This window comes from Homo sapiens, chromosome 17 (assembly GCF_000001405.40).
Source record: "Homo sapiens chromosome 17, GRCh38.p14 Primary Assembly".
NCBI lineage: Eukaryota > Metazoa > Chordata > Mammalia > Primates > Hominidae > Homo > Homo sapiens.
The window spans coordinates 81,674,560-81,702,215 of NC_000017.11; the positions used below are offsets into that span (position 1 = coordinate 81,674,560).

Below are 27,656 nucleotides of genomic sequence, written 5' to 3' on the forward strand. Positions count from 1 at the left end.
TGTCACCTTGGCAGGAGTGCAGTGGCACGCTGGTCTCCAAGTCTTGGGCTCAAGATTAGCCTGCCTTGGCTTCCCTCAGTGCTGGGGTTCCAGGAGAGACCAGCTCACCCCTCCTACTTTTTTTTTTTTTGAGATGGAGTTTTGCTTTCGTTGCCCAGGCTGGAGTGCAATGGCACAATCTTGGCTCACCACAACCTCTGCCTCCCAGGTTCAAGCGATTCTCCTGTCTCAGCCTCCCAAGTAGCTGGGATTACAGGCATGCACTACCATGCCTGGCTAATTTGGTATTTTTTAGTAGACACGGGGTTTCTCCATGTTGGTCAGGCTGGTCTCAAACTCTTGACCTCAGGTGAGCCGCCCGCCTCTGCCTCCCAAAGTGCCGTCCTGCTTTTCTTACTTATCCTTTACTTCTGGAATCTTCAGGAGGAGGTGATGTGGGCATGTCAGGGTCAATGTTTAAGAGGCGAAGGCCATGGATGGACCTCCCTGGGCCTTCCGCTCTCCATGGGGCAGTGCTGTTCTCTCCATATAAAGGGAAAACTGAATTTGCACAAAATCGGGGTGCTGACAAAACCAGTGATCCCAGATGGGTCACCTACTTGTACACACAGGTCTCGCAGCACCCTAGTTGTCAACTTTCCTACAAAGAATTTTCCCAGACTAGCCAGATTTTCTCCCAGCCAACCTATCACACATTTATTGATGTGATTTTTTTTGAAGAAAAAAATTAATGTTATAATTTCACATACCGTATAATGCTATCCTTTGATTAGCGTTTAGTTTGATGGGAACTCCAAACTGTTAAAGAAAATTCAGGCCAGCTGTGGTGGCACCATGCCTGTGGTCCCAGCTACTCGGGACGCTGAAATGGGAGGTTCACTCAAACCTGAGAGGTCAAGGCCGCCCCACCGTCTGGGAAGTGAGGAGTACCTCTGCCTGGCCGCTGCACCGTCTGGGCCTGTGAGCTGTGATTGTGCCTCTGCACTCCAGCCTGGGCTGTAACAGAGCAAGACCCCCATCTCTAAAACAGAAAAGAAAAAAAATTCCTATCCAGGTGCTACATCTGCGCTGAGAAGAGTCCACGAGCAGAGACGACTCTGAGAACAGTGGTGTCCTCAGCAGCATCAATTTCCCCAGACTCAGGAGAGAATTGGGCTCTGGCATGTGCACTGAGGGGGGTCCAGCATGCCTGGCCCCATGTGGGCGGCAAGCCACCCGGGTGCCAAGGCAAGAGACTGAGGACACGAGCTGTTCCAGTATAATAAAATATAAGAATAGTTATACCAGACATAGATCTTAGATATGATTATATATGAATCATGAATCATTAGTTTATAGCAATTACTCTTTATTCCAATATTATAATAATCCTCGCTCTATAATCATAACCTAGGAAAAGCTAGGCCATACAGAGATAGGAGCTGAGGGGACATAGTGAGTGAGGTGTGACCAGAAGACAAGAGTGCGAGCCTTCTGTTATGCCCAGACAGGGCCACCAGAGGGCTCCTTGGTCTAGCGGTAACGCCAGCATCTGGGAAGACGCCTGTTGACAAGCGGACCGTGGTCTAGCGGTAGCGTTAGTGTCAAGGAAAAACACCCGCTACTTAGCGGACCGGGAAAGAGTCTCCCTTTCCCCAGGGGAGTTTAGAGAAGACTCTACTCCTCCACCTCCTGTGGAGGGCCTGACATCAGTCAGGCTCGCCCGCAGTTATCCGGAGGCCTAACCGTCTCCCTGTGATGCTGTGCTTCAGTGGTCACGCTCCTAGTCCGCCTTCACGTTCCATCCTGTACACCTGGCTCTGCCGTTTAGTTAGCAGTAGCAAATTAGTGAAAGTACTAAAAGTCTCTGATAAGCAGAAATAATAATGTAAGCTGTTTCTCTCCTTCTCCTCTCTCTCTCTCTGCCTTGGCTGCCAGGCAGGGAAGGGCCCCCTGTCCAGTGGACACGTGACCCACGTGACCTTACCTATCATTGGAGACGGCTCACATTCCTTACACTGCCCCTTTGTCTTGTATCCAATAATATCAGTGCAGCCTGGCATTCGGGGCCGCTACCGGTCTCCACAACTTGGTGGTAGTGGTCCCCCAGGCCCAGCTGTCTTTCATCTCTGTCTTGTGTCTCTATTTCTACACTCTCTCATCTCTGCACATGGGGAGAGACCCACCGACCCTGTGGGGCTGGTCCCTACACCCCAGAACAGCCGCTGAGTGCAGGGACCCTAAGGTTGGGTGGGGGTCTGGGTGACAAGGCCAGGGGAGTCCCCAGCACCCCTCACCCACCCTGCAGGACACCCCAATTGACACTGTGTGCCAGCGAAGTGGGGACCTGATGGTTTTGAGAACGTGGGTTATTGAAAGTGGCCTGCAGCACACGGCCTGTCAGGAGCAGGCAAGGAGGGTCCTTATCCACCCACCCCGAGACCGTCCTCCCGTGGCACCATGCCACGCCTGCATAGGGCTCCCTGGCTGGAACCCACCCTTGAAAACCGCCTGAGGAGGTGCCAGAGTGTGGCTGCCAGCTCCAGACCACGTCGGCTCCACCTGCCTGGAACCCAGCTGCCACCAGCGCTGGCTGGGAACACAGGCTTGCTGTTTTCTCCGGGTATTGGGAAACGCGTACTCTTAGGACTCATTCAGGATCAGCATGTCCAGCCCAAGGATTGCTTCAGGAAAGGCACTCCCTCCCAACTAAAGGAACGTTCCGCCAAGCAAGCTGACAAGCGCGGCCCACCCACCTCCAGCCGGGTGGCCACAGGCACCTCAGGCTCCTACCTCCTTATATTTTCATGCCTCACAGCAAAAGTCACGGTGGGTATTTCTTTTCTTTTTTTTTTTCTGAGACGGAGTCTCGCTCTGTAGCCCAGGCTGGAGTGCAGTGGCACCATCTCGGTTCACCGCAAGCTCCACCTCCCAGGTTCACGCCATTCTCCTGCCTCAGCCTCCCGAGTAGCTGGGACTACAGGCGCCTGCCACCACGCCCAGCTAATGTTTTTGTATTTTTAGTAGAGACAGGGTTTCACCGTGTTGGCCAGGTCTCGATCTCCTGAACTCGTGATCTGCCTGCCTCGGCCTCCAAAAGTGCTGGGATTATAGGCGTGAGCCACCGTGCCCGGCCGACACTTGGCCATTTCAACCAGGCTTTGCTAAAGTCCTCTGAAATTGGGGGACTGAAACCCAATTACTGGGATCACAAGTTGCCTGTGAAATCTGCAAGGACCTGCTGTCAGGGCTCATTAAACCCCAAAGTATGGCACCTTGGCATGCAGACTACTCTGACCCAGAGGAGACTGGAAGGCCTCAGAAGCCAGGTCTTTGTCCTTCCCTCCTGGTTCCTGCCTACTTTTCTGCCGCAAAGTGAGTCCCAGAAACCACAATTCTTTTTCTCACAGCAGGTCATAGAAACTAGAACTCCTCTCTCCCAAAGCCAGCCATAAAACCTAGCAAGGTCACTCCCTCCTCCCTGGAAGACCCTCATTCCCGAGGGGTCCTGCCCTATCCTCAGGGGAAGGGGAATTGTGCACAGTGGCCTTGCTGGGTTTCCCCACTGTGTCCATCACCAGTTAGACGGACGTTAGGCCAGAGCCTGTGTGTCCAACCACATTTCTGCATGCCTGTTCACTCGTCAAACCTAAATATAAGAATAAAGGTTTTCACGCCGGGCACGGTGTCTCACGCCTGTAATCTCAGCACTTTGGGAGGCCGAGGTGGGCGCATCACCTGAGGTCAAGACTTCATGACCAGCTTGGCCAACATGGTGAAACCCTGTCTGTACTAAAAATACTAAAATTAGCTGGGCGTGGTGGCACACACATGTAATCCCAGCTACTCGGGAGGCTGAGGCAGCAGAATCGCTTGAACCTGGGAGGCAGAGGTTACAGTGAGCAAAGATTGTGCCACTACACTCCAGCCTGGGTGACAGATCGAGACTCCCATCTCAAAAATAAATAATTAATAAAGGTTTTCCCTGGGTCTTTATTGCTGAAGGCTCCTGCGTCATGTAAAACTTTACTTATTTTTTTTTAGATGGAGTCTCAATCTGTCACCCAGGCTGGAGTGCAGTGCATGATCTCAGCTCACTGCAACCTCCACCTTCTGGGTTGAAGCGAGTCTCCTGCCTCAACCTCCCAAGTAGCTGGGATTACAGGCAGGCAACACCATGACGGGTTAATTTTTGTATTTTTAGTCGAGAAGGGGTTTCACCATGTTGCTCAGGCTGGTCTCAAACTTCTGGCCTCAAGCGATCTGCCCACCTTGGCCGCCCAAAGTGTTAGGATTACAGGTGTGAGCAATCGTGCCCGGCTGTCATGTAAAACTAATACATTTGCTATGCTTTTAGGCCGGGCATGGTGGCTCATGTCTGTAATCCCAGCATTTTGGGGGGCTGAAGCAGAAGGATCAATTGAGGCAAGGAGTTCAAGACCAGCCTAGGCAACACAGCAAGACCCCGTTTCTACCAAAAATACAAAAAATTAGCTAGGCGTGGTGGTGCATGCCTGTAATCCCAGCTACCCAGGAGGCTGAGGTGGGAGGATTGACTGAGCTTGGGAGGTTGAGGCTGCAGTGAGCTGTGATCCCACCACTGTGCTCCAGTCTCGGAGACAGAGTGAGAGCTTGCCTCAAATAATTAAGTAAATTTGTTAATGCTTTTCTCTTGCTCACCTGTAGTTTGTTAGGTGTGTTGGCTGTCACCCTTATGGGTGAAAAAAGGTATTGTATCTTTCCGCCCCATGGTACTAACAGGACAGACACCTCAGGTGTCTAGTAGCTGTTTGGTGGTGGTAAGAGGCAGGGGGAGCAGTGCATGGGGATTCATGTGGTGTCTAAGAAGGTGGCATCCAGGCCAGGCGCAGTGGGGATTCATGTGGTGTCTAAGAAGGTGGCATCCAGGCCAGGCGCAGTGGCTCATGCCTGTCATCCCAGCACTTTGGGAGGCCAAGGCAGGTGATCACGAGGTCAGGAGTTCAAGACCAGCCTGGCCAAGATGATGAAACCATCTCTACTAAAAATACAAAATTTAGCCGGGTGCGGTGGCAGGCGCCTGTAATCCCAGCTACTCAGGAGGCTGAGGCAGGAGAATTGCTTGAACCTGGGTGGCAGAGGTTGCAGTGAGTCGCCGAGATTGCACCACTACACTCCAGCCTGGGCGAGAGTGAGACTCTGTCTCAAAAAAAAAAAAAAAAAAGGTGGCATCCAACAGGGCACAGGCTGTGTACAGTTGAGAGCCCATGACACACTGGAAAGCAGAGACTGGAGCCCGAGCCACCCTGAAGCACACGCCGTGCTGCGAGCTTTTCCCAGGCATCGCACATAGCCCTCCACAGGAATAAAGACCCATTTCCCCACAAGCAAAGTGCAGCAGGTTTGTGCCACGGAGGAGGGTGGTGGGTGCGAGGCTCCTTCCATGACCGAAGGAGCCTAGGCTGCCAGCTGGGAAAACATCTGTAGAAAATTCACATCTATTCTCAGGACTATAGGGTTTCTTATTCAATTGTTGTAGTCAAATGACGGCCCCTAAAAGGTGTGTCCAAATTATAACCCCTGGAACAAGCAAGAGTGACCTTGTTTGGAAAATAGGGCATTTGCAGATGTAATGAGGAATCATCCTGGATTTTCAACGACAGATGTCCTTGTAAGAGAACACAGAGGCACAGGAGAGAAGCTGCGTGAAGGTGGAGGTGGAAACAGGCTTTGCAGGCCACAGCCCAGGGGCGCCGAGGAGCACCGCAGCCACTACGCAGGCAAGGCACGGATGCTCCTTCGGAGCCTCCAGAAGGAAACTACCCTGGTGAAAGCCCAGCTTTGGACTCTGGCCTCCGGAACTAAGAGAGCAAATTTGTGTTGTTTTGGCAGCTGCAGGACACTGACCCGTCAATCAACACTCCCACAAGTGGCCATGGCTGAGAACCAAAGTCAAGGAAGGGCACTGGGGAACCATGGGAGGCACGGCCACCATTTCCTGTGCTTCATCTGAGCCCCACCTGGCACACCTGTGGGGCGTTTCACGGCAATACCTGTTCACTGAACAAGTGAACCAGTGAGAATGCTGGCTCTTGTTTTTTTTTTTTTTTTTGAGACCGAGTTTTGCTCGTCACCCACGCTGGAGTGCAATGGCGCGATCTCAGCTCACTGCAACCTCTGCCTTCTAGGTTCAAGCGATTCTCCTGCCTCAGCCTCCCGAGTAGCTGGGATTACAGGCATAAGCCACCACGCCCAGCTAATTTTTTGTATTTTTAGTAGTGACAGGGTTTCACCATGTTGGCCAGTCTGGTCTCGAACTCCTGATCTGGTGATCTGCCTGCCTCAGCCTCCCAAAGTGCTGGGATTACAGGCGTGAGCCACTGCGTCCGGCCACCAGCTTGTTTCTAACTCGAGGCCTGGCTCTTACTACCACACTCACTTCACCTGCCTCATGCCGTCTGTGGCAGATGCAGGGTCAGGGTACCAGCGGCTCAGCAGGTTGGAGGTTGTGCTACAGCAAGAGGCCAGGTTTCAGTGGCACTGTGCAGTCCATACGCCTTGGGGGCAGTCCAGCAGGTCTCCAGGAAGGAGGTGAGCCAACCCCAATAGCACCACTCTAAGATACAGAACACTCGGCCATCTGCAGGCCCTGCTCATCCAGTCTGGGGACAGGTTTTTATTTTTTTATTTCTTATATTTTTTAAGACGGAGTTTCACTCTTGTTGCCCAGGTGCAGTGCAATGGCATGATCTCGACTCACTGCAACCTCCACCTCCCAGGTTCAAGGGATTCTCCTGTCTCAGCCTCCCAAGTAGCTGAGATTACAGGCATGCACCAGCACACCCAGCTAATTTTGTATTTTTAGTAGAGACAGGGTTTCTCCATGTTGGTCAGGCTAGTCTCGAACTCCCGACCTCAGGTGATACACCCGCCTCGGCCTCTCAAAGTGCTGGGATTACAGGTGTGAGCCACCATGCCTAGCCCCTGGGGACACTTTTTTCAGAGGCCAGATGTCAACTTCCATCTCCACATGCCTCAGTTTACACATCATTGCATCTCAGCACAGAGCCCCATCATGTAGGGTTACTTTGGGTTATTCTGCCCCTGTGAGAAGAAACTATTGGCAGCAAAGCCATACTGCCCTCTGCCACCTCTCCCCAGCTCAGGCCAGCTGCGCCTCTGCCGTGCAGTCAATCGTTGGCTCTGTGGGTGGCCTGGAGCCAGGCCAGCACCCCTGCTAAGCCAGTGCCTTCACGGGCGCTGATTTCTGCCGTGGTGATGTTCTGCTTGGCACAAGCAATGATGTCTGGAAGCCTGATTAATGACTTCATCTCCTCCGTGGACATGTAACAGGGTAGGTCGCTGGAGAGAAAGAGGTGCCCCATCAGAGCAGTGGCAGCCACACACCTGCCCCGGACCCCCAGCTGCACCACCTCCCTACCGAGCCATGCTTCCGGCTGTAACCCGAGGGAGCCCCCGCCCCCGCTGTGCTCCCTCTCAGCTCAGGGACGCGTACATTTTATTGAAGAGTATCAGCACCGATGCTTCTGCAAGTTGTTCTGCAGAAAGGAGACCTAAGAGCTGCACACAGGATGCAGAGAGCTGGGTGGGGTCAGAGGCGTCCATCACAAACTGGGGAAAAAGAAAAAGACAGCAGCAATGCCCCGCTGCCAAACTTCCTCCCCTGGGCCTCACAGACCTGGCACTGGGAGAGCAAAACTGCATTTTTTAATTAATTAATTTATTTTTTGAGACGAAGTCTCGCTCCGAGTGCAGTGGCACGATCTCGGCTCACTGAAACTCCGCCTCCAGGGTTCAGGGTTCAAGTGATTCTCCTGCCTCAGCCTCCCAAGTAACTGGGACTACAGACACCCGCCACCACGCCTGGCTAATTTTTTGTACTTTTAGTAGAGACGGGGTTTCACCATGTTAGTCAGGATGGTCTCCATCTCCTGACCTCGTGATTCGCCCACCTCAGCTTCCCAAAGTGCTGGGATTACAGGAGTAAGCCACCGCGCCCGGCCCAAAGTAGCTTTAAACAAAGCTTTGGGAACAAGCAGAAGCAGAGGGAATCGAGTTTTATGAAGACGACCTGGTGTCACTCGTCTCTGTCCTCATGTGGCCATCAGTTCTCCATACTGGTATCCGCGGCACAGGCCTTATCAAGATGAGACCAACCAGAGGTACGTATAAGTCCAACATAAACACAGACGTACCGGGGAGTGACACAGAGGGCCAAGTCTGTTCTCTGCGGAGCAGCAGCCCTGCCCTCAGCAAGCCCTCTGTGAGCTCCTACCGGGGGCCTGGGAGCGCAAGCACCAGAAACCAGACAGGGTGCCCAGCAGGAAGCAACACTAGCTAAGACCTATTTCCATGAGTAGTATAGTCACTAAATAACCCAAACCCCTTTCTACACACAGCAAGGTTGGGGACTGGACGTCACAGAAATGTAGACACACTTCCCTAAAGGAAGCCCATATAGGATTACAACCCACCAGGAGAGAACGGCAGTTTCCATAGTAACTGGACCAGATGGGGCCCATGCACCCCCCAAGCTCCCGGATGGTGATCTTTCTCTGTGCCACGATGTCAGTAAGATTGGTGCCCACCTATAGGAAAAACCACGATGCAAAAAGAACAATACAACCGCTGTCCCGTTGTGAACTCCTGAAGAGCACCGTGCCCACACCTTACACGGTGGCCTGAACCCCGCAGACCCATTCTCCCTAACGCAGGAACGGCGAGCAGGGACCGACGCCCATCAGTAGCTGGACTCGCTGTGGGGGCGACCAGCCACAGGAAGCCGTTGCGAGGGGAGAGGAAGTGCCCGTGGAGGGCGGCAGGCCCCCTCATCCCGCGCCAATTATCCTCAGCTCGGGCCGTCCCCCGCTCCCGAAGGCTGGCCTTAAGTCACGACCTGACCCGCTGCGCCTCGGCGTGCACTTAGAGGAGCCCGGAGCTCTTCGCCAAGCGCAGAACTGACCCCCCGCAACTCCACCCGCGGGGGCGGACACCTACCGTGGGCCGTGTCGGGGGCGGCTCCCCCAGGTCGCCTTTCCCATCCCGGGAGCTCACCTGTGCGAAGCGGTCAAGGACCCGAGCAGCTAAAGGGTGAGTCCCCGCCCCACTCCGGGTGCCCCCCGCGCCCCGGTCCCGTCCCCGCGCGGAAGGATATCCTGCAGCCGTTTCACCAGCAGCGTCTTCCCGACGCCCGTGGCCCCCAGCAGGAGACACATTCCGTGCTTCGCTCCACCCGGCACCCGTAGCTCGGCGCCGCGGCTCAAGGCCCGCCCACCGGCCACTCTCATTGGATAGTTCTCACCTTCGGACTTCTCATTGGTTCTTAGGGCTCATTGTTCCAAGGGCGCGTCCAATTAGCGCGCAGCGTTAGCGGGAGAGCGGAAGACCCCGCCTCCTCGCGGCTCTAGGGCCGGCGCGGTGACGTGCGCGTGCGCGCACTGGAGGGAAAAGGCGGAAGCGGAAGTCGGGGGGCGCGCCAGCTCGTAGCAGGGGAGCGCCCGCGGCGTCGGGTTTGGGCTGGAGGTCGCCATGGGGCGAGGCAGCGGCACCTTCGAGCGTCTCCTAGGTAACGCGTCCCCACCCGACGGCTCGGCCTTGGTCAGCCCGCAGCCTCCGCCCGGCGCTGAGTCAGCGCGGCCCCGAGGGCCCGAGGGGCGCGGACCGGCCGCCCTGCCCGCCTCTCCCCGGCCCGCTGTCCTCCCGGGTTCGGAGCCGCCGATCCTGGACCCTCGGCGCGGCCGTGGGGTCGGCGTCCGTCGGGCGTTGGCAAATGGGGCTCTGCGAGGGTCCGCGCAGGGCGCCAGGGGCGCTCGGCGACCTCGCTCCTCCGCGGGCCCGGGCATTCGGCCGATTTCCTCTTGACCGACGAGCACCCGGCCGAGTGGGCCACAAGGCCTGAGTCATGAAAGTGGGTGACTCAGTCGGATGTTAGGCTCGCACTTGGGCTTCTGACCCAAAACACTGGGCCTCGAAGGGTGGAGCCGGCAGTGTTCTCTCTGGGACCTTCGAGCTCTCTTGGGGGCTGCGGGTCCCAGACCCACCTTTTGTTCCCACACTGGCTTCGGGAAGTGCCTAATGGTTTAGGAAGGCGTTTTCTCACGTTTTTGGAGGTGAAAGCTGATCCTATCTGAGCCTCCTGGAATTGACGCGTTTTGGGAGGGAAACGAATGTTGATGTGCACGTGCCCAGCAGCACGTGGAAAATGCGTCTAATGTTTGGGGGTAGGAGCTTGGGTGGTCGAATGGGCTGCCCAAGCTTGCCTTTTTGTCAAGTAGGGTTTTCAAGGAGACTTCAAGTGAGACACCTTCCTTGCCAAGGGAACCAGCAAGCAGACTGAGTATCTCAGCCACACAGGTAGTTCAGTGCTTCAGGGATGAATCCAGAGGTTAACTACTGAATCAGTATAGAAAGTGGACGTGGCTTGGCTTGTTAGATCGTTTCTGTATCCGGGAAAGGCGATGTGGGCAGAGCTGGAGCTGCCCCCCCAGAGGGGCCAGTTGTTGGAGACAGCAGTGATGTGGTATGATGACAGGTATGCTGGCGAGTCCTCCTTGGAGCCCCGTTCTGCCCTTATTTCCAAAGCACTTGGCTTGGAGCAAGGGGCCTGGAGTCTACACTGCAGGCCTCTCTAGCCCTTGCCCAAGCTAAGGTCCCATTGAAACCGGGAGCATCTGGGCGAACGGGGACTCCAAGGGACGGGTGATAGGGTTCTTTGTTGAGAAGCAGCCGAGCCTGATGTTTAAGAGTGAATCAGCCTCTGTCTCTGGTGAGCTGTGTGACTCACGGCAGTGCCCTCGCCTCTCTGCTGAGTGTCTTTACCTCGCTCGCGGGTTGTGGGAGGGCTTGGACCAGCACCTGGTGTGCTCTTACGCTGTTTGCTGCTTCCCTGGGGAGGATGGCACTTCCCTGCCCATCAGCACGCTCAGGAGGATTCTGTCATGCTTTTTCATTTGGTCCAAATGTCTAAAGGGGAAGGAGAGAGTCCCCCCCAGCTGCTGCCAAGCTGGGGTGCTGCACGGGGCGTCCAGCAGGATAACCCCTCCCTTTCATGGCATTTTCTCTCTCAGACAAGGCGACCAGCCAGCTCCTGTTGGAGACAGATTGGGAGTCCATTTTGCAGATCTGCGACCTGATCCGCCAAGGGGACACACAGTGAGTTAGCGGGGCCTGTGCCCTGATGCGGAGGAGCAGCCGTGCACTAAGCTGGGCTCGCTTGGTGCCCGTTGGGTCTCCACGACGTAGCTGACCGTGTTAGGCTCTTATGTGGAGAACTGCATGGGCTACATGCTAGGATTTTTTGACATCTTGGAGGATTAAGGGGTTTTCTCTGTACAGCTTGCAGATACCTGGTTATGTTTGTATTTGCTTCGGGGTTCTCAAAGACTAAGATGGCAGACAGACTTTTTTTTTTAAGACGGGGCCTTGCTTTGTCACCCAGGCTGAAGTGCAGTGGCGTGATCTCAGCTCACTGCAGCCCCTGCCTCCCAAGCTCAAACGATCGTCCCACCTCAACCTCCTGAGTAGCTGGGACTACAGGCATTCACCATCACGCCCGGCTGATTTTTTGTATTTTGGTAGAGATGGGTTTTTGCCGTAATGCACAGGCTGGTCTCAGACTCCTGGGCTCAAGCAATCCTCCTGCCTTGGCCTCCCAAAGCACTGGGATTACAGGCGTGAGCCACTGCACCTGGCAGCAGATGAGCTTTTCTCATCTTAGTTGCTGAGACTATTTTTTTCCCGTTTTTCTCTGCTTTTATCAATGTTTCCTTTTCAGAGCAAAATATGCTGTGAATTCCATCAAGAAGAAAGTCAACGACAAGAACCCACACGTCGCCTTGTATGCCCTGGAGGTAAGCAGACCCCCGTGCCTCAGTGGCCCCCAGGGTCCCTACCCCCTACTAGTCACGACAGCATGAGAAGAGTTTGTCCTGTGGCCTTGCCCACCTCCCTGGGCATACATCAAGCAGGAGAGTTTCCACTCAGCCTTGAGTGCCTGTGTGAACAGTGCCACCTAGGAGAGGGTCACGCTGAGGGAGAGACAGGAGATAGGGGAGGGAGTGGGCACCACTTCTTCAGCCGGTCCTGCGTGAGTAAACACCAGAAGGCGGATGTCATTGCTGTGCTTGGCAGTGAGACTTGGCGTCACGGAGCGGTGCTGTGCAGGCTGCTGAGTCTCAGATGTGGGTTCCCCACTGGCCTGACGGGCCTGTTGAAGGGCTGCTGTCCCACCGGGTTCCCCACCGGCCACTGACGGGCCTGTCGAAGGGCTCTGCTGTCCCACCGGGTTCCCCTCCGGCCACTGACGGGCCTGTCGAAGGGCTCTGCTGTCCCACCGGGTTCCCCACCGGCCACTGACGGGCCTGTCGAAGGGCTCTGCTGTCCCACAGGGAGGTGGGTCTGTCCGGGAGGAGGAGGGGCCCTGCCCTGACCACTGGCCCAACCCTTCCCTTCCTGGGCATCTGCAGGTCATGGAATCTGTGGTAAAGAACTGTGGCCAGACAGTTCATGATGAGGTGGCCAACAAGCAGACCATGGAGGAGCTGAAGGACCTGCTGAAGGTGGGTGAGACGGGGGCATGCGGGTGGCCACCCAGGCTGGCACCTTTGCTTCTCCGGGTGTTTACTGGGCACTGATGACAGAACAGCACCAGGTGTGGCGGAAAATGTGCAGGTGCAGATCGGTGGTCCCTGCACTGCGCAAGCTCGCACTCATGAGTCGGAGAGACAGGGCCGTGAGCCCCAATCCAGGGAGGTCAGGGTTTAGCAGGAGCCGGCCTGGGGTGCTGTGTCTGGAGGACCAAGGTGACAGCGACCCTGGGGCCTGGGGGAAGCTTCCGGGAGGCAGGGCTTGGGCACCTGCTGTCTTAGGGAAGGTGAGTAGATGCCACTGGGTGGGCAGGGCAGGTGGTGGCTATCGTGTGTGAGAGTGGCTGTGGTCCGGAGGGCAGGCTGGCCACATCCCACAGGCAGGGGCCTGGGAGGGCTCTGAGCGGGGGCTTGTAAGATCGGATGTGTCTGGCGGGGATAAGAGCTGTTTTGGAGAGCGAGGGCTTCATGCTTTCCTGGGCAGAGGAGGAAAAGCCCTCCAGATCCCCAGGAGATTGTGCCGGGGACATCTGCAGGGATTGTGCTGGGGACACCTGCAGGGACTGTGATGTGGACTGTGATGCAGTGGGGATGCTGTTGCAGGTGTCAAGGAGAAAGAGTGTCCCATGTAGTCAGGCTGCTCCCCTTCTGTCCCAACCTGTGGGCCAGACCTGGGTCTCATAGGAGACTCCCTGGACTCACACAGCTGAGAACCTGCCCGGGGATCCCGGTGGACAGCCAGGCCTCTCAAAGGCCCTCACTGGCCACTTTGGCTGGCTTCCTGTCCCGTCCTGTCCTGGCTGAGAGGCGGAAGGTGCCGGAGTCTGGCCCTGCCCGACCCTGGTGCTCCTGAGCTCCTTCAGTCAGGCTGCAGATCCTGAGCCGGTTCGCTCCTCTGGGGTGAGGCAGGGCTGTGAAGGGAAGGCGCCGCTGAGGATGCAGAGGGGTTCTGGAAAGGAGCTTAGGCTGAGGTGCAAGTGCCCCGGAGCCTGCTTGCAGCAGCCTCTGATCGCACGCCGTCCTGCACGTCACACCGGGACGGCGTCCCCGAGAGGGCCGTAGACGCGAGGCCAGGCTGCGCTCTAACCGGGGGAGAGGATGGCTGCAGGGGGTCTGGAGCCCGCTCTGAATTTGGAGGCATTTCTGGAGCGGCTGCCCCCCGCGTCTCCCCGGCTGTGACTGGAAGGAGGGGCGTGGCCAGAGCCCCGCAGTACCCCTGTGTTCTCAGCCCCAACACCACGCTGCCACCGTCAGGCCTGCCGGGTCCTGCCTGTTGGAGGCTGACGGGAACCGGGGATCCTGGGGTGGGCAGGTCCCGTGGGGAAAGGGAGAGACAGATGGTCAGGGGCACAGAGACGCGGCGTTGTTTGGCTCCAGCAAGTAGAGGCAGGCGTGAGGTTTGAACTCAGGGTCTGGGAACAGGTTGGTGCATGGCCCCCACGCCCCACTCGGGGGGCCCTCCCTGGCCTCTGTGTCAGCCCCATCTGCTCAGAGGCTGAGGTCTGCCAGCTGCTTCCTCACACCGAGGCCTCTGGCGCCTGGAGTGTCCTGCGACCCTCACCCCCTTCTCCCTGCCTGCAGAGACAAGTGGAGGTAAACGTCCGTAACAAGATCCTGTACCTGATCCAGGCCTGGGCGCATGCCTTCCGGAACGAGCCCAAGTACAAGGTGGTCCAGGACACCTACCAGATCATGAAGGTGGAGGGTGAGTCAGGACTGAGGTTGGGACCAGGTTGAGGCTTGGAACTGCTGGGCAGTCAGGCTCAACGGGCACAGTGGCGAGGGGCCTGGGAAGATGGGTTGTTCCCTGTGTTGGGAGGGAGGAGGGCGGTGGCCTGGAGCCAGGGAAGACCGTGCATGTGAGGGCGGGTTCAGACCGGCTCCTGCCTTTCTGGACCCACGGCCCACGGGCAGGGGCAGGCAGTGATGGCAGACAACACACAGGTGAAAAGGCAGCAGACAGCCTGTTTCAGAGTGGCAGGACTCCTGGGGGCCGGGTTGGGCTGTGCAGTCAGGGAAGGCCTCTGAAGGAGCTGTCCCAAGTGTCGAGACTGGAACAGAAGCCAGAGCCGGCGTGAGCAGGCAGGCAGCACCCGTGGGCAGACACTCAGGGTTGAGGCCCCAGGGCAGAAAGGTGGCCAGCGTGCCAGAGGAGAGTGCAGCCGGGCCTGTGCGCCGAGGGCCTCCAGGCTGTTGGGCTGGAGTTCAGGGTTGCTGTCAGCGCAGCAGGAGGCCTCTGGTGGGTTTTCGTCTAGGTCGTGGCTGCCAAGGTGTGTTTCTTAAGGGTCCCTCTCGGCCATTGTGGCCGTGGAGAACTAGGGGATTGTGTAGAGAGAGGTGGGGGCTTCAGGATGCATTTGGGAGTCTTGGCTGGTGCTCAGGGCCCACTCAGTGAGAGAGAGGTGGGCATGGCTGCTCACATCTGTGCGGGTTCTCTGTGGCCCTGAGTCTGCTGAAGACGAGGCTGAGAGCGTGGGGAATGGGGCAGGCTCCAGGGGTGGTGCGTCCCCGCTGCAGGAGTTGGACGCTTGCCCTGTGGCTGCAGGGTGGGCAGGACCAGTGTGGAGAACACGGGAAGAACGCAGGGGGCGCTGCACGAGCTGCCTTGGACCCTCAACTTTGGGGTGGTGGATGCTGGTGGTCTGTGCTCCTGTCTCCTTCCTGGGGTGGGAGCTCTCCTGGATTTTTTCTGGGGTCGTGTGTCAAGAATAGCTCAAGGTCTTGTCCTCAGGATCAGTGGGAGCCCTGGCCAGAGAGCAGAGGGTGAGGGAGCCACTCAGCAGGCGGGGCCACGCAGGGGCCTCATGCCCTGATGGAGTGGGAGCAGTGTCTCAGGAAGAGGGCAGCAGGGCCTGGCTCTTGTCTCCCGCCACAGTGAGGACAGAGGCCCCATGGGGACACCCAATCTTGGGGGCAGGAGGCTGTCTCGGTGCCCCCAGACACCTTCACTTGGGTGCACGGTCACTGCTGCGTTGCAGCTGCCGAGAGTGAGGAAGGGGCTCCCGGAAGTCTTGCAGGCCAGGTGGGAGCAGGCAGTGACTATGGCTTCATCTCTCCAGGGCACGTCTTTCCAGAATTCAAAGAGAGCGATGCCATGTTTGCTGCCGAGAGAGTGAGTGTGGGCGGCCGCCAGGGGTTCTGGAGTCGGGCTGCTCAGGAAGCGTGAAGGGGAGTGCTGGGAGCCCGGCTTGTTTGAGGGTTGGTGGCTGAGCTCTCGTCTGTCTGGGACCTGAGGATGCCTGTGTGTCCTGGGCGGAGGCGTAGCAGCTGTCTCTGCAGGGCGAGGTGGAGACGTGGCTTGAGGGCCTTTAGAGTGGCTAGGGGGCTCGGGAAAGGAAAACAAGCACCTTTGATGAGGAAGGAAGTCCCTTCCTCAGGCCTCGGCAGCTTCACCCCAGGCCACGCCGCTGGGAAGGGCCGCCCGGGGCATTGCTCTCGCTCGTGCTGGGGTCCTCTCTGGGTCCGTTGCCTTCTGTGGGGCAGGGGAGGCTCTGTGCCTCTGGGGCTGGTGGGGCGGGAAGCGTGTGGTCCTGACTGCTGCCCCTCCTCAGGCCCCAGACTGGGTGGACGCTGAGGAATGCCACCGCTGCAGGGTGCAGTTCGGGGTGATGACCCGTAAGGTGAGTTCCCACCTGGGGGGCTCTACAGCCCCGGCCAGACACCAGGTCCCCTGCCGTGCACAAGGCCACCGTCCCTGCTGGGCCTTTCCTTCCTGGTGGGTGGTTCAGGAGGTGAGTGCAGCTCGCAGCGGGTGGCAGTGTGGCGTCAGGAGGGGGACAGTGAGGGCCCACGTAAGGGCCTGATGCCACTGCCTGGGCCGGGCCCAGCCTCACTCTGGAATTATAATGTTTTAAACCTAGGGCTACAGGCCTTGCCACAGTCACTCTGCTGCTTGCCAGGGCCGTGGGGCCCCCTTCTCTTTGTGGCTTAGCCCATCTGGATTCTTACCCTCGAGGCATCTTCACATCAAAACCCCCTCCAGGCTGGCAACCGGCAGTGCTTGGGGTTTGGGGTGTCAGCAGCTTCCAGCACCCACTGCACTCACAAAAGCTCTTGTTTTATCAGCAGAATTGATGTGTATTTTTTCCTTGCCCTTACTTTTAACTTACCTTATTTTCCCCAAAACGGTGGCTGGCGTTGAGACTCCCGGGAGCATGTCCAGGTTCCCCGGCCTTAGGGTCTTCCCAGGCACTTGTTCTGCTTGTCCCTTGCCTTCCCCCACCTGTGAGGCCCAGCTTCGGCATCGTACGGGGTGGTTCTGGGCCGGGTGGCGCATCAGGGTCCCCCAGTGCCTGTGACCAGGCCCGCCCGCCCCATCTTACAGCACCACTGCCGGGCGTGTGGGCAGATATTCTGTGGAAAGTGTTCTTCCAAGTACTCCACCATCCCCAAGTTTGGCATCGAGAAGGAGGTGCGCGTGTGTGAGCCCTGCTACGAGCAGCTGAACAGGTGAGTCCCCGCCCCCCATTTGGGCTGCAGGTGGGGCAGGCTCTCCAGGCTGGGTTTTCTGTCCCTCTTGGCCATGGTGCCTGAGGCCTGCAGACCCCAGAGGACCCTCACAGCACAGCAGCTGGAAGGTCAAGGGAAACCCAGGGTGGCCGCATGCCCTCGGACCCTGCCCCACACTAGGGCAGGTGGGTGTGAGAGACAGGGCGCCGCGGCTCCAGGGACCGAGGCTGCCCCGACAAACCTGTTGCTTGGGTTTGGGTTTGGGTTTGTTTGCATTTCAACTTTCGGAATAAAACTTACAGAAAAGTTGCAAGAGTAGCACAGAGAAGCTGCGGGGCCGCGGCCAGTGCCTCAGCGGTGGGAACCTGCGGGGCCGCGGCCGGTGCCTCGGCGGTCGGTGTTTTGTCGCAGAGTTTACTCTGCCTCCCCTCTCCTGCGCGTGCGTGTGTTCACACAGGTTTTATTTTGAATTTGCATGAGTGCAGATGTCATGCCCCTTGGCACTCAGATCTTCGCCTGTGATCTCTGAGAGGGACAGTGCTCTCATGGCCACAGCAGTCACTCGGGACTGCGCTGCCACCCAGTGCTGGCTTCTGCTCTGTGGTCCACGTTCCATTTCTGCCGTGGTCCCAGCAGCGTCGCTGTGGGTCTGGCCTGGGTTGCGTGTGTTTCGTATGTGGGCCGTGCTCCCTGCTTGGTTCCCTTTTCCTGGAACGTGTCACTGCCTCCCTGTCTCGCTCCGTGGACATTTCTGGGAGGTCAGGCCGTGGCCACCTGGCCCCCTGTTCAGGTCTGAGGCTCCCACCTGCTTAGGTTCGGGAAGCTCAGGAGTGAGGCCATGCCCTCCTCAGGACATCCCATCCAAGCCAGCCATGTCCGGTGATGGGCCGCTGCCCGGAAAGTTCCTTTTCCTTCTTGTAACTGAGAAGAACTTGCCTTGAGCCACGTCAAGTCCCGTCCGTCGCAGCCACTGCCCACAAGCGTGAGTCTGCTGTGAGCCAGCGGCTCCATGGCAGGGCATCCCAGCGCCATTCCTGCCTTCACACACACTTGCTGCCGTTTCCCTGTGCTGGGGGCTGTGCAGGTCTGCCTCGGTGTGGACTTTTCTCTTAGGAAAGAGCCCCAGGTCGGCCGAGCACGGTGGCTCATGCCTGTAATCCCAGCACTTTGGGAGGCTGAGGCGGGCAGATCACGAGGCCAAGAGATCAAGACAATCCTGGCCAACATGGTGAAATCCCGTCTCTACTTTTTAAGTATTTTATACTTAAAATTTTTGTATTTTATACAAAAATTAGCGGGCTTGGTGGCAGATGCCTGTAGTCCCAGCTACTCGGGAGGCTGAGGCAGGAAAATCACTTGAACCTGAGAGGCGGAGATTGCAGTGAGCCAAGATGGCGCCACTGCATTCCAGCCTGGGCGACAGAGCAAGACTCTATCTCAAATAAAAAAAAAAGAAAAGAGCCCCAGGTCAAAGGTCAGCGTGCGTGGTTGGAAATTGCGACCATGCTGTGAGCCTGCGGCCCTTGGACTGCCTGGGGCGCCCCGGAAGAGCTTACTGGGCATGACAGTCACTGACCTGTTTGCCCCTTCTTGGGTGGGGCCCGTCCCACAGTGGCGGTGCTGTGTTTGGTTTCCCGAGTGCCGTAGGAAGGTCTTCGCAGGCCGGGCTGGTGTCCTGAATGTCCATTTTCAGGAGAGGAACTGGGGCTTACCCTGAGGGACTCACCCGAGCCCTTGTGGCTGGTGTGATGCCCTCGAGTCCTGCCCTGCTCTGCTCTGGAGTGTGGCCATTCGGACACCTGTGGCTGTGGAACCACTGTCCTCACTCTGTGGGGACACTTAGAGGAGCCCGCAGAGGTGTGGTTGAGAGCTTTGGCGGGGGCAGGGCGGTGTCAGCGCATGGTGACCTGCAGCATTCCTTGTGCCCACAGGAAAGCGGAGGGAAAGGCCACTTCCACCACTGAGCTGCCCCCCGAGTACCTGACCAGCCCCCTGTCTCAGCAGTCCCAGGTACTCAGCCCCCTCCGTCCCGTGGGCACCTCTTCCCCGGCGCCCCCCCTCACCCTCCCCGCTTGTCCTCAGCTGCCCCCCAAGAGGGACGAGACGGCCCTGCAGGAGGAGGAGGAGCTGCAGCTGGCCCTGGCGCTGTCACAGTCAGAGGCGGAGGAGAAGGAGAGGCTGGTAAGCCGGGTGGGGCGGGGCGGCCTCAGGAGGGGCCCAGCTCCCCTGGATGTGCTGCGGTGGGGCCGGAGGGGCGTCACGTGCACCCAAGTGACGCCCCTTCTGATTCTGCCTCAGAGACAGAAGTCCACGTACACTTCGTACCCCAAGGCGGAGCCCATGCCCTCGGCCTCCTCAGCGCCCCCCGCCAGCAGCCTGTACTCTTCACCTGTGGTGAGCGGCCCTTGGGCTGGAGCTCCCTCTCCTGGAAGGCAGTAGGGTTGATGGGGGACGCGGGTCCCTGAGCTGATTTAGTCAGGTTGGTGGGGGATGCGGGTCCCCGGGCTTCCCAGAGAGGACAGCCCCAGCACACGGGCGGACATCAGGGCAGAGCCCCACGGCTCCAGGCACCCGTTGCTCCTGGTCCCTGGTTCGGCCCTTGGGACTGAGGACATGGGACAGGCTGTGGGGGAGGCGCCTTGCTGGTGAGACCCCGTCTCTTCCACACCCCTCCCGCCCCACAGGAACTGAAGGACTTGCTTTCTGGGGCATCCACGTCACCTCTCCCTGGCCTCAGCCCCGCTCTCAGTAGAGGGTGAAGAGGCAGCCTGTTTTGCAGGGGGTTGGGTCGGGGACAGCAGGTTGAGAAAGTCATTTTGTAGGTTCCGTGGAGTGGCCAGGCCGCTGCAGGCCCAGGGGTGCAGAACAGCCCTGCCCCAGTGAGCCACCCCTTCCCTTCTTCCCTTCCTTCCGGGCTGTCGGCTGGGGCCCCACACGCTGGACCGTGGGGGCTGTCCAGTGTCCACCTTGAGGCCCCAGGGCTGGCCCAGTGCCACCCTGTTCCTCCCATAGCAAGGTTAGGAGCCTTGTAGGACGGCAGTGCTGTCAGCCTCTGTGGAGTTCTAAGCATCTGGAAGAGGAGAAAAGATGGCTGCTCAGATGCCAGGAACCAGAGGAGGGCACGGAGGGAGGGCCCAGGCTGCGGCTCTGGTCTCCAGGATCTGTCGCACTGGGGACATCCCTGTCCCTGCCGAAGCAACTGGCTCTGTCACCTGTGAGACTCAGATGCCCTTTTCTCCCCAGAACTCGTCGGCGCCTCTGGCTGAGGACATCGACCCTGAGGTAAGGCCCAGCATGGGGTGCATCCTCTCACGGTTTCTGGCCTTGGGAGTGACCCCCTCATTGCCTGCAGCTCGCACGGTATCTCAACCGGAACTACTGGGAGAAGAAGCAGGAGGAGGCTCGCAAGAGCCCCACGCCATCTGCGCCCGTGCCCCTGACGGAGCCGGCTGCACAGCCTGGGGAAGGGCACGCAGCCCCCACCAACGTGGTGGAGGTGAGGGGGCCACTCCCGGCATTCCTAGTGGCAGGGTCCCTTGGAAGGGGTGGATGCGGGACAGGTTGGAGGCCCCACTCATTCTCTCTCTTCCAGAACCCCCTCCCGGAGACAGACTCTCAGCCCATTCCTCCCTCTGGTGGCCCCTTTAGTGAGGTAAGCTGTGGCTCCCTCCACGGGCCAGGGCAAAACATGGCCTCCTGGCCCACAGCGCCAGGCACATGGCACAGGTGCCTGCCCTAACCAGAGGGCCGTGCTAGAGCAAGGGTGTCTGCCCCAGCCCAGCCCTGGCCTGCCCTGCCCTGCCCTTTGTGGCCTCTCCCAATGGAAACTCTACACCAGGCTGTGGTCCAGAGCTCGGGCCACTCTCTGTGGACCTAACATGGACCTGAATATTCCAGAGCAGCCTAGAACCATCAGATGAGTCCTTGGCGTTGCCTGGGGCTTGTGGGCTGGTTGGCTGTCAGAGCACAGGTCCCTGGAGAGGGAGCTGGCAGTGGGGCCCTGAGCCAGCTCCGTCCTGACCAGGGCTTGCAGCTGGACAAGGACCCCGCCTCCAGGGCCTCGCCTTCCTCAGCTGTAGAAGGGGCTGCTTGCATAAGGAGCAGATGGACTCTGCTCCAGGCTTGAGTATAGCTGGGTGCCTCCATCCCAGGCCCCACCAGGGAGGCTGGCTGGGGCGTGGCCGCACTCATCCAGAACCCTGCTCTGCCTGCAGCCACAGTTCCACAATGGCGAGTCTGAGGAGAGCCACGAGCAGTTCCTGAAGGCGCTGCAGAACGCCGTCACCACCTTCGTGAACCGCATGAAGAGTAACCACATGCGGGGCCGCAGCATCACCAATGACTCGGCCGTGCTCTCACTCTTCCAGTCCATCAACGGCATGCACCCGCAGCTGCTGGAGCTGCTCAACCAGCTGGACGAGCGCAGGCGTAGGTGCCCGCGCCACGGGGCCTCGGCTCAGGGGCAGCCAGGTGTTGTGAGCGCCATCCTGGGCCAGGGCCTCCCCTGAGGGTGCTGAGCTCTTGTGAGTCCTTCATTGGGGCCGTGGCTTCCTCCAGAGAGTGTCAACAGGAGGTGGTCTCAGTGATGACCATGCCCTGCCCTGCCCTGCCCTGCCCTGCCCTGCCCTGCCCAGGACCCTCTGCCTGCCTCCCCCAGAGCCCAGCACCTTCAGAGCCCTCTGCAGAAGGTTGGGCACAGGGCGGCCCATCTGCGTGTCCGTTCCACCCAGGAGCTTCTCGGCACTGTGCCGGAGTGGTCAGGGTTGCTCTGTCATCTGCCCACAGTGTACTATGAGGGGCTGCAGGACAAGCTGGCACAGATCCGCGATGCCCGGGGGGCGCTGAGTGCCCTGCGCGAAGAGCACCGGGAGAAGCTTCGCCGGGCAGCCGAGGAGGCAGAGCGCCAGCGCCAGATCCAGCTGGCCCAGAAGCTGGAGATAATGCGGCAGAAGAAGCAGGTGCAGTGGCTGCCCAGCCACAGGCCGGGGCCGGCTGGGGGACCTCGCAGCATAACCAGCATGTTTTTGCCGCACAGGAGTACCTGGAGGTGCAGAGGCAGCTGGCCATCCAGCGCCTGCAGGAGCAGGAGAAGGAGCGGCAGATGCGGCTGGAGCAGCAGAAGCAGACGGTCCAGATGCGCGCGCAGATGCCCGCCTTCCCCCTGCCCTACGCCCAGGCATGTGCCATCCTCCCGCCACCCAGAGGCTTGTGGGCTGAGGACCAACTCTCACCGCTGTCTCTTTTGTCCCCAGCTCCAGGCCATGCCCGCAGCCGGAGGTGTGCTCTACCAGCCCTCGGGACCAGCCAGCTTCCCCAGCACCTTCAGCCCTGCCGGCTCGGTGGAGGGCTCCCCAATGCACGGCGTGTACATGAGCCAGCCGGCCCCTGCCGCTGGCCCCTACCCCAGCATGCCCAGCACTGCGGCTGGTAAGGACGGGTCGGGGCAGAGACCATGCCTTTTATCCCTCGTCTTTATTTTAGCCGAATTTACAGAAAAGCAGTAAGAATGGTGCGAAGGGTTTTCCCAGTTGCCCCGATGTGAATGTTGTCCCTGCTTTTTCCTGTTTCCATGCAAACGCACTCACACAGGCTTTCCTGCTGGAGCCGTGTTTCAGTCCGTGCGTGGCAGGTACTGCCCTCTCCCCTGAATGCGACAGCGAGCATTTCCTGAAACCAGCAGGTGCTGGGCTGCCGATCCTCGTCTGTAGCAGGCTCAGCCCTCATGGACTGTCCCAGTGGTGTCCTGTAAACAGCACGCCCCCTGCTGCGTGGCATTTGCCCCCCCCCCCCCCGCCTTTAATCTAGAGTGTTCCCCAGTCAGCTTCTGTGTTTTGTGACATCTACTGTCCCAAGAGCACTGGCCTGTCATTCGGCAGACCGTCCTCAGCTCAGGTTTGTCTGGTGTCTCCACGCGGTGACCATAAGGCTGTGCTTTTCTCAGAGTGGCAGCCGAGGTGACGTGCATCCCGTCAGTCCCATTGCTGGCCGTTCGGCTGAGACGGGGTCTGCCAGGGGTTTTCACTGTGAAGTGACTGTTTTGCCCTTTACAGATGTCTCTTGGGGGAGGCCTTCCAAATACCCTGGGACTCCTCAAGGTCTAGCATTTTTTGCTAATGTTGCCTGTGTTTATTACGGTGTTTGCCAAATAGCGCCTTCTAATTCTGCTGTTGTCTTTCCACTGGCGGGAGGTACTCTTCCCCACTCTCCTGCTTATCGTCAGTCACAGCAGCGTGGAGACGTGTTTATTTTTTCTTTCAAAGGTGACACTCCTCTGTCATCACTCTTTATTTTTAGAGTCTCGCTGTCATCCAGGCTGGAGTGCAGTGCCATGATCATGGTTCACTGCAGCCTCGACCTCCTGGGCTCAAGCAATCCTCCCATCTCAGCCTCTTGAGTAGCTGGGACTACAGGATTGCACCACCATGCCTGGCTAATTAAAAAAAAAAGGGCTGGGTGCGGTGGCTCACGCCTGTAGTCCCAGCACATTGGGAGGCTGAGGCAGGTGGGTCATGAGGTCAGGAGTTCAAGACCAGCCTGCCAGGATGGTGAGACCCTGTCTCTACTAAACATACAAACATTAGGTGGGCGTGGTGGCACGTGCCTGTAATCCCAGCTATTCGGGAGGCAGAGGCAGAGAATGAATTGAGCCCGGGAAGTGGAGGTTGCAGTGAGCCGAGGTTGCACCACCACACTCTAGCCTGAGCAACAGAGTGAAACTCCATCTCAAAAAAAATGTAGAAATGAGGTCTTTCTGTGTTGCCCAAGCTGACCTCAAACTCCTGACCTCGAGTGATCCGCCCTTCTCGGCCTTCCAAAGTGCTGGGATTACAGGTGTGAGCCACCGTGCCCAGCCCCGTTACTTTGATGCTCAAAGTTTCCCAGGTGTGGCCATGGGAGGCGTCAGTGGCTTCTCTGTTGCGTAGGGCCATTGGTTTGGGTTGCTCCTGAGTTTCTGTTGCTAGATACTCTGTGCTCGTCTTGTATGTTCTCAACCCTGGAAGCAGCCATTTCTCCAAGGAGCCCTTGTTCCCTTTAGTGGAGGGTGGTCTGGATCTTGGTTAGAAGCCAAGATCAAGATTCTGGGTGTGCTCACAGCTCTAGGTTGTTAGCAGACAGAGCTGGAAAGTGTGTATGTGAATACAAGTGCACAGTTGTGGGTGCGTCTGTGTATGTGCGAATACATGCGTCTTTGTATATGATAAAAACCGTGAGTGCAGCCAGGTGCGGTGGCTCATGCCTGTAATCCCAACACTTTGGGAGGCCAAGGCGCGTGGCTCACCTGAGGTCAGGAGTTGGAGACTGGCCTGGCCAACATGGTGAAACCCCGTCTACTAAAAATACAAAAATTAGCCAGGCGTGATGGTGCACACCTGTAATCCCAGCTACTTGGGAGGCTGAGGCAAGAGAATCACTGGAACCTGGGAGGTGGAACTTGCAGTGAGCCAAGATCATGCCATTGCCCTCCAGCCTGGGTGACAGAGCGAGACTCCGTCTCAAAAAAAAAAAAAAAATCCATGAGTTAATTCCAGTACTTGCAATTTTAATCCAATAGCACAGTTTTCTTTTGCATTGTTTTCAATATACTCAATTGCTCAGCCCTAGAATACACAAAAAGTAGTTTTAAGAATGCTAACCTGGCCCACTGTGGAGACGATGCCTCCTAACTGGAGTGTAACATTTGTCTGTAGTTCTTGTCATTTGTAGCCTGAGGCCGTGGAGTCCAGATTTTGGGTTCAGAAGTTACTGGAATTCACTATCCCATCCCATTGGTCAGACCATGTCACTCATTTCAAATACAGTTTGGTTCATTTTTTCTGATTTCATTCCATTCTAGGATTCTCCTCCCATCCTTGTTGGTTTATCTTCTTTTTTGAGACGAAGTCTCGCTCTGTCGCCCAGGCTGGAGTGCAGTGGTGCGACGTCAGCTCACGGCATTCTCCGCCTCCCAGGTTCAAGCAATTCTCCTGCCTCAGCCTCCTGCGTAGCTGGGATTACAGGCGCCTGCCACCATGCCCAGCTAGTTTTTGTATTTTTATTAGAGACAGGGTTTTACTATGTTAGACAGCCTGGTCTCGAACTCCTGCCATCATGATCCGCCTGCCTCGGCCTCCCAAAGTGCTGGGATTACAAGCATGAGCCACCACGCCCCGCCTATGTTCCTTTTTTTTAGAAACGTGAAACCTGAACTTGGTTCCAAAAGTCACAACAAAAAGGAAAACTCCTGGCCGGGCGGTGGCTCACGCCTATAATCCCAGCACTTCGGGAGGCCGAGGCGGGTGGATCACCTGAGGTCAGGAGTTTGACACCAGCCTGACCAACATGGTGAAACCCGTCTCTCCTAAAAATACAAAAACTTAGCTGGGTGTGGTGGTGCACGCCTGTAATCCCAGCTGCTCGGGAGGCTGAGGCAGGAGAATTGCTTCAACCCAGGAAGCAGAGGTTGCAGTGAGCTGAGATCGCGCCACTGCACTCCAGCCTGCGTGACAGACTATCTCAAAAAAAAAGTAAAACTCGGCCGGGCGCGGTGGCTCACGCCTGTAATCCCAGCACTTTGGGAGGCCGAGGCGGGCGGATCACAAGGTCAGGAGATCAAGACAATCCTGGCCAACATGATGAAACCCCATCTTTATTAAAAGTACAAAAAAAAATTAGCCGGGCGTAGTGGCGTACGCCCGTAATCCCAGCTACTCGGGAGGCTGAGGCAGGAGAATCGCTTGAACCCGGGAGGCAGAGGTTGCAGTGAGCCAGGATTGTGCCACTGCACTCCAGCCTGGTGACAGAGCAGGACTCCATCTCAAAAAAAAAAAAAAAAAAGTAAAACTCAAGAGTAGGGTGTCCCTTCCTCTCCTCCCTGTTGCCCTGGCTGAACCATCTCCCCTGTCTTGTTTGTCACAGATCCCAGCATGGTGAGTGCCTACATGTACCCAGCAGGGGCCACTGGGGCGCAGGCGGCCCCCCAGGCCCAGGCCGGACCCACCGCCAGCCCCGCTTACTCATCCTACCAGCCTACTCCCACAGCGGGCTACCAGGTACACAGGAAGGCCGCTCCTCTCCTTCCAGGGCCAGCCCCAGCCCCAGCCCCAGCCCCAGCCCCTTCTCCCATGGCACTCATTCCCTCCGCAGAACGTGGCCTCCCAGGCCCCACAGAGCCTCCCGGCCATCTCTCAGCCTCCGCAGTCCAGCACCATGGGCTACATGGGGAGCCAGTCAGTCTCCATGGGCTACCAGCCTTACAACATGCAGGTACAGTGACCTCCAGGCCCTGCTGGGGGCCAGGGTGGGGGAGCAGTTGATGATGCTGAGGGTCCTTTGGTGAGGCTGGCAGGCACTGGGTGGGCTCCACCCCTTCTGCTCCTCCCCCTCCACTCTCTGGGTGCTCCCTGTGGTCACCTTTGGATTGTTGCAAGCCAGAAACATCCCCGCCTGCCTGGTCACAGGGCTACTCTCTCACATCTGACGTCTTCTCACAACAGAATCTCATGACCACCCTCCCAAGCCAGGATGCGTCTCTGCCACCCCAGCAGCCCTACATCGCGGGGCAGCAGCCCATGTACCAGCAGGTGAGCCATTCCCGGGGCCTCACAGCGGCACCCGCAGGGCACCCTCAGGCTTCACGGTTTAGCAATGGGACCCCTGGCCCCAGTGGGGATTGTCCCGTACGTCTGCTCACAGGGGGAGACGCATACCCGAGGCCCCTTCTCAGCAGACAGAACGAGGACACAAGTCTCAGGGCAGATACGCGCATCCGCAAGTGTAGACAGGAAAAACCGTGAATTTACTTGAAAGGCAAAGGCCGCATGAGCTGGCTGCATGAGCTGCAGTCCGTGGACATGGATTACAAGCACTTGTGGGTCTGTGGCTCTGCTGGGACAAAAGCCTTCCTCCCTGGGCTGGGGAAGGGAGGACCAGGGCCATGCCTGCTTTCCTCCTGCACAGATGGCACCCTCTGGCGGTCCCCCCCAGCAGCAGCCCCCCGTGGCCCAGCAACCGCAGGCACAGGGGCCGCCGGCACAGGGCAGCGAGGCCCAGCTCATTTCATTCGACTGACCCAGGCCATGCTCACGTCCGGAGTAACACTACATACAGTTCACCTGAAACGCCTCGTCTCTAACTGCCGTCGTCCTGCCTCCCTGTCCTCTACTGCCGGTAGTGTCCCTTCTCTGCGAGTGAGGGGGGGCCTTCACCCCAAGCCCACCTCCCTTGTCCTCAGCCTACTGCAGTCCCTGAGTTAGTCTCTGCTTTCTTTCCCCAGGGCTGGGCCATGGGGAGGGAAGGACTTTCTCCCAGGGGAAGCCCCCAGCCCTGTGGGTCATGGTCTGTGAGAGGTGGCAGGAATGGGGACCCTCACCCCCCAAGCAGCCTGTGCCCTCTGGCCGCACTGTGAGCTGGCTGTGGTGTCTGGGTGTGGCCTGGGGCTCCCTCTGCAGGGGCCTCTCTCGGCAGCCACAGCCAAGGGTGGAGGCTTCAGGTCTCCAGCTTCTCTGCTTCTCAGCTGCCATCTCCAGTGCCCCAGAATGGTACAGCGATAATAAAATGTATTTCAGAAAGCATCAGCGTTTTTTCTTTAATTAATTTTTTTGAGATGGAGTCTCACTCTGTCACCCAGGCTGGAGTGGTGATCTCCGCTCACTGCAAGCTCCGCCT

At 58.0% G+C, this 27,656-nt stretch overlaps 2 protein-coding genes and 1 non-coding gene across 8 annotated transcripts, besides 8 other annotated features; 2 read left to right on the top strand and 1 right to left on the bottom strand.

The window, feature by feature from the left end:
* Positions 6,606 to 9,238, bottom strand: ARL16 (ARF like GTPase 16). 6 transcript variants are annotated; one of them, NR_138058.2, is made up of 6 exons: positions 9,134 to 9,238; positions 8,977 to 9,035; positions 8,454 to 8,567; positions 7,932 to 8,116; positions 7,475 to 7,590; positions 6,628 to 7,320 (listed from the first exon to the last, which is right to left on the bottom strand). NR_138058.2 is itself a non-coding variant. In NM_001040025.3 (5 exons), the coding sequence occupies exons 1-5, from the start codon at positions 9,192 to 9,194 to the stop codon at positions 7,149 to 7,151; spliced, it is 522 nt and encodes a 173-aa protein (NP_001035114.2). In that variant the 5' UTR covers positions 9,195 to 9,238; the 3' UTR covers positions 6,628 to 7,148. The 6 variants fall into 6 exon arrangements, 3 of the variants coding, with proteins under 3 accessions (NP_001035114.2, NP_001316537.1, NP_001316538.1); NR_138060.1 differs by having other exon boundaries at positions 6,606 to 7,320; positions 9,034 to 9,154; NM_001040025.3 differs by lacking the exon at positions 7,932 to 8,116.
* Positions 8,703 to 8,922: an enhancer, noted in NCBI's record as "active region_12976". NCBI's record gives its function as "activates an Ori minimal core promoter by ATAC-STARR-seq in GM12878 lymphoblastoid cells {active_cell/tissue: GM12878}" and the evidence as "EXISTENCE:reporter gene assay evidence [ECO:0000049][PMID:35858748]".
* Positions 9,023 to 9,102: a silencer, noted in NCBI's record as "silent region_9143". NCBI's record gives its function as "represses an Ori minimal core promoter by ATAC-STARR-seq in GM12878 lymphoblastoid cells {active_cell/tissue: GM12878}" and the evidence as "EXISTENCE:reporter gene assay evidence [ECO:0000049][PMID:35858748]".
* Positions 9,140 to 9,434: an enhancer, noted in NCBI's record as "tiled region #13823; HepG2 Activating DNase unmatched - State 1:Tss, and K562 Activating DNase unmatched - State 1:Tss". NCBI's record gives its function as "activates a minimal TATA promoter and a strong SV40 promoter by Sharpr-MPRA in HepG2 and K562 cells {active_cell/tissue: HepG2 | K562}" and the evidence as "EXISTENCE:reporter gene assay evidence [ECO:0000049][PMID:27701403]".
* Positions 9,313 to 9,372: a silencer, noted in NCBI's record as "silent region_9144". NCBI's record gives its function as "represses an Ori minimal core promoter by ATAC-STARR-seq in GM12878 lymphoblastoid cells {active_cell/tissue: GM12878}" and the evidence as "EXISTENCE:reporter gene assay evidence [ECO:0000049][PMID:35858748]".
* HGS (hepatocyte growth factor-regulated tyrosine kinase substrate) lies at positions 9,452 to 27,562 on the top strand. The gene is made up of 22 exons (NM_004712.5): positions 9,452 to 9,544; positions 11,046 to 11,130; positions 11,753 to 11,828; positions 12,444 to 12,536; positions 14,145 to 14,268; positions 15,623 to 15,675; positions 16,115 to 16,183; positions 16,888 to 17,012; positions 18,944 to 19,022; positions 19,095 to 19,193; positions 19,311 to 19,406; positions 20,256 to 20,294; positions 20,365 to 20,508; positions 20,605 to 20,664; positions 21,227 to 21,440; positions 21,798 to 21,970; positions 22,048 to 22,188; positions 22,265 to 22,439; positions 25,908 to 26,041; positions 26,136 to 26,255; positions 26,486 to 26,572; positions 26,949 to 27,562. The coding sequence occupies exons 1-22, from the start codon at positions 9,508 to 9,510 to the stop codon at positions 27,057 to 27,059; spliced, it is 2,334 nt and encodes a 777-aa protein (NP_004703.1). The 5' UTR covers positions 9,452 to 9,507; the 3' UTR covers positions 27,060 to 27,562.
* Positions 9,583 to 9,682: a silencer, noted in NCBI's record as "silent region_9145". NCBI's record gives its function as "represses an Ori minimal core promoter by ATAC-STARR-seq in GM12878 lymphoblastoid cells {active_cell/tissue: GM12878}" and the evidence as "EXISTENCE:reporter gene assay evidence [ECO:0000049][PMID:35858748]".
* Positions 18,117 to 18,302: a silencer, noted in NCBI's record as "fragment chr17:79659706-79659891 (GRCh37/hg19 assembly coordinates)". NCBI's record gives its function as "represses an EF-1alpha promoter that drives an FKBP-Casp9 reporter gene in an ReSE screen in K562 erythroleukemia cells {active_cell/tissue: K562}" and the evidence as "EXISTENCE:reporter gene assay evidence [ECO:0000049][PMID:32094911]".
* On the top strand, positions 19,198 to 19,310 carry MIR6786 (microRNA 6786). The gene has a single exon (NR_106844.1). It is a non-coding gene; the product is annotated as a microRNA 6786 (primary transcript).
* Positions 25,875 to 26,479: an enhancer, noted in NCBI's record as "H3K4me1 hESC enhancer chr17:79667464-79668068 (GRCh37/hg19 assembly coordinates)". NCBI's record gives its function as "activates a minimal SCP1, AML or CMV promoter by ChIP-STARR-seq in naive H9 embryonic stem cells {active_cell/tissue: H9 hESC(naive)}" and the evidence as "EXISTENCE:reporter gene assay evidence [ECO:0000049][PMID:30033119]".
* Positions 26,480 to 27,083: an enhancer, noted in NCBI's record as "H3K4me1 hESC enhancer chr17:79668069-79668672 (GRCh37/hg19 assembly coordinates)". NCBI's record gives its function as "activates a minimal SCP1, AML or CMV promoter by ChIP-STARR-seq in naive and primed H9 embryonic stem cells {active_cell/tissue: H9 hESC(naive and primed)}" and the evidence as "EXISTENCE:reporter gene assay evidence [ECO:0000049][PMID:30033119]".

Excerpts from the sequence above, each read along its gene's own strand:
- ARL16 (NM_001040025.3), bottom strand. The coding sequence starts at position 9,194 with ATGTGTCTCCTGCTGGGGGCCACGGGCGTCGGGAAGACGCTGCTGGTG. Across the intron at positions 8,568-8,976 it reads CGCCCCCGACACGGCCCACG|GTGGGCACCAATCTTACTGA; the intron begins GTAGGTGTCCGC and ends TTTTTCCTATAG. Across the intron at positions 7,321-7,474 it reads CTGATACTCTTCAATAAAAT|CGACCTACCCTGTTACATGT; the intron begins GTACGCGTCCCT and ends CTTTCTCTCCAG.
- HGS (NM_004712.5), top strand. The coding sequence starts at position 9,508 with ATGGGGCGAGGCAGCGGCACCTTCGAGCGTCTCCTAG. Across the intron at positions 20,509-20,604 it reads CCCCCACCAACGTGGTGGAG|AACCCCCTCCCGGAGACAGA; the intron begins GTGAGGGGGCCA and ends TCTCTCTTCCAG. Across the intron at positions 21,441-21,797 it reads CCAGCTGGACGAGCGCAGGC|TGTACTATGAGGGGCTGCAG; the intron begins GTAGGTGCCCGC and ends ATCTGCCCACAG.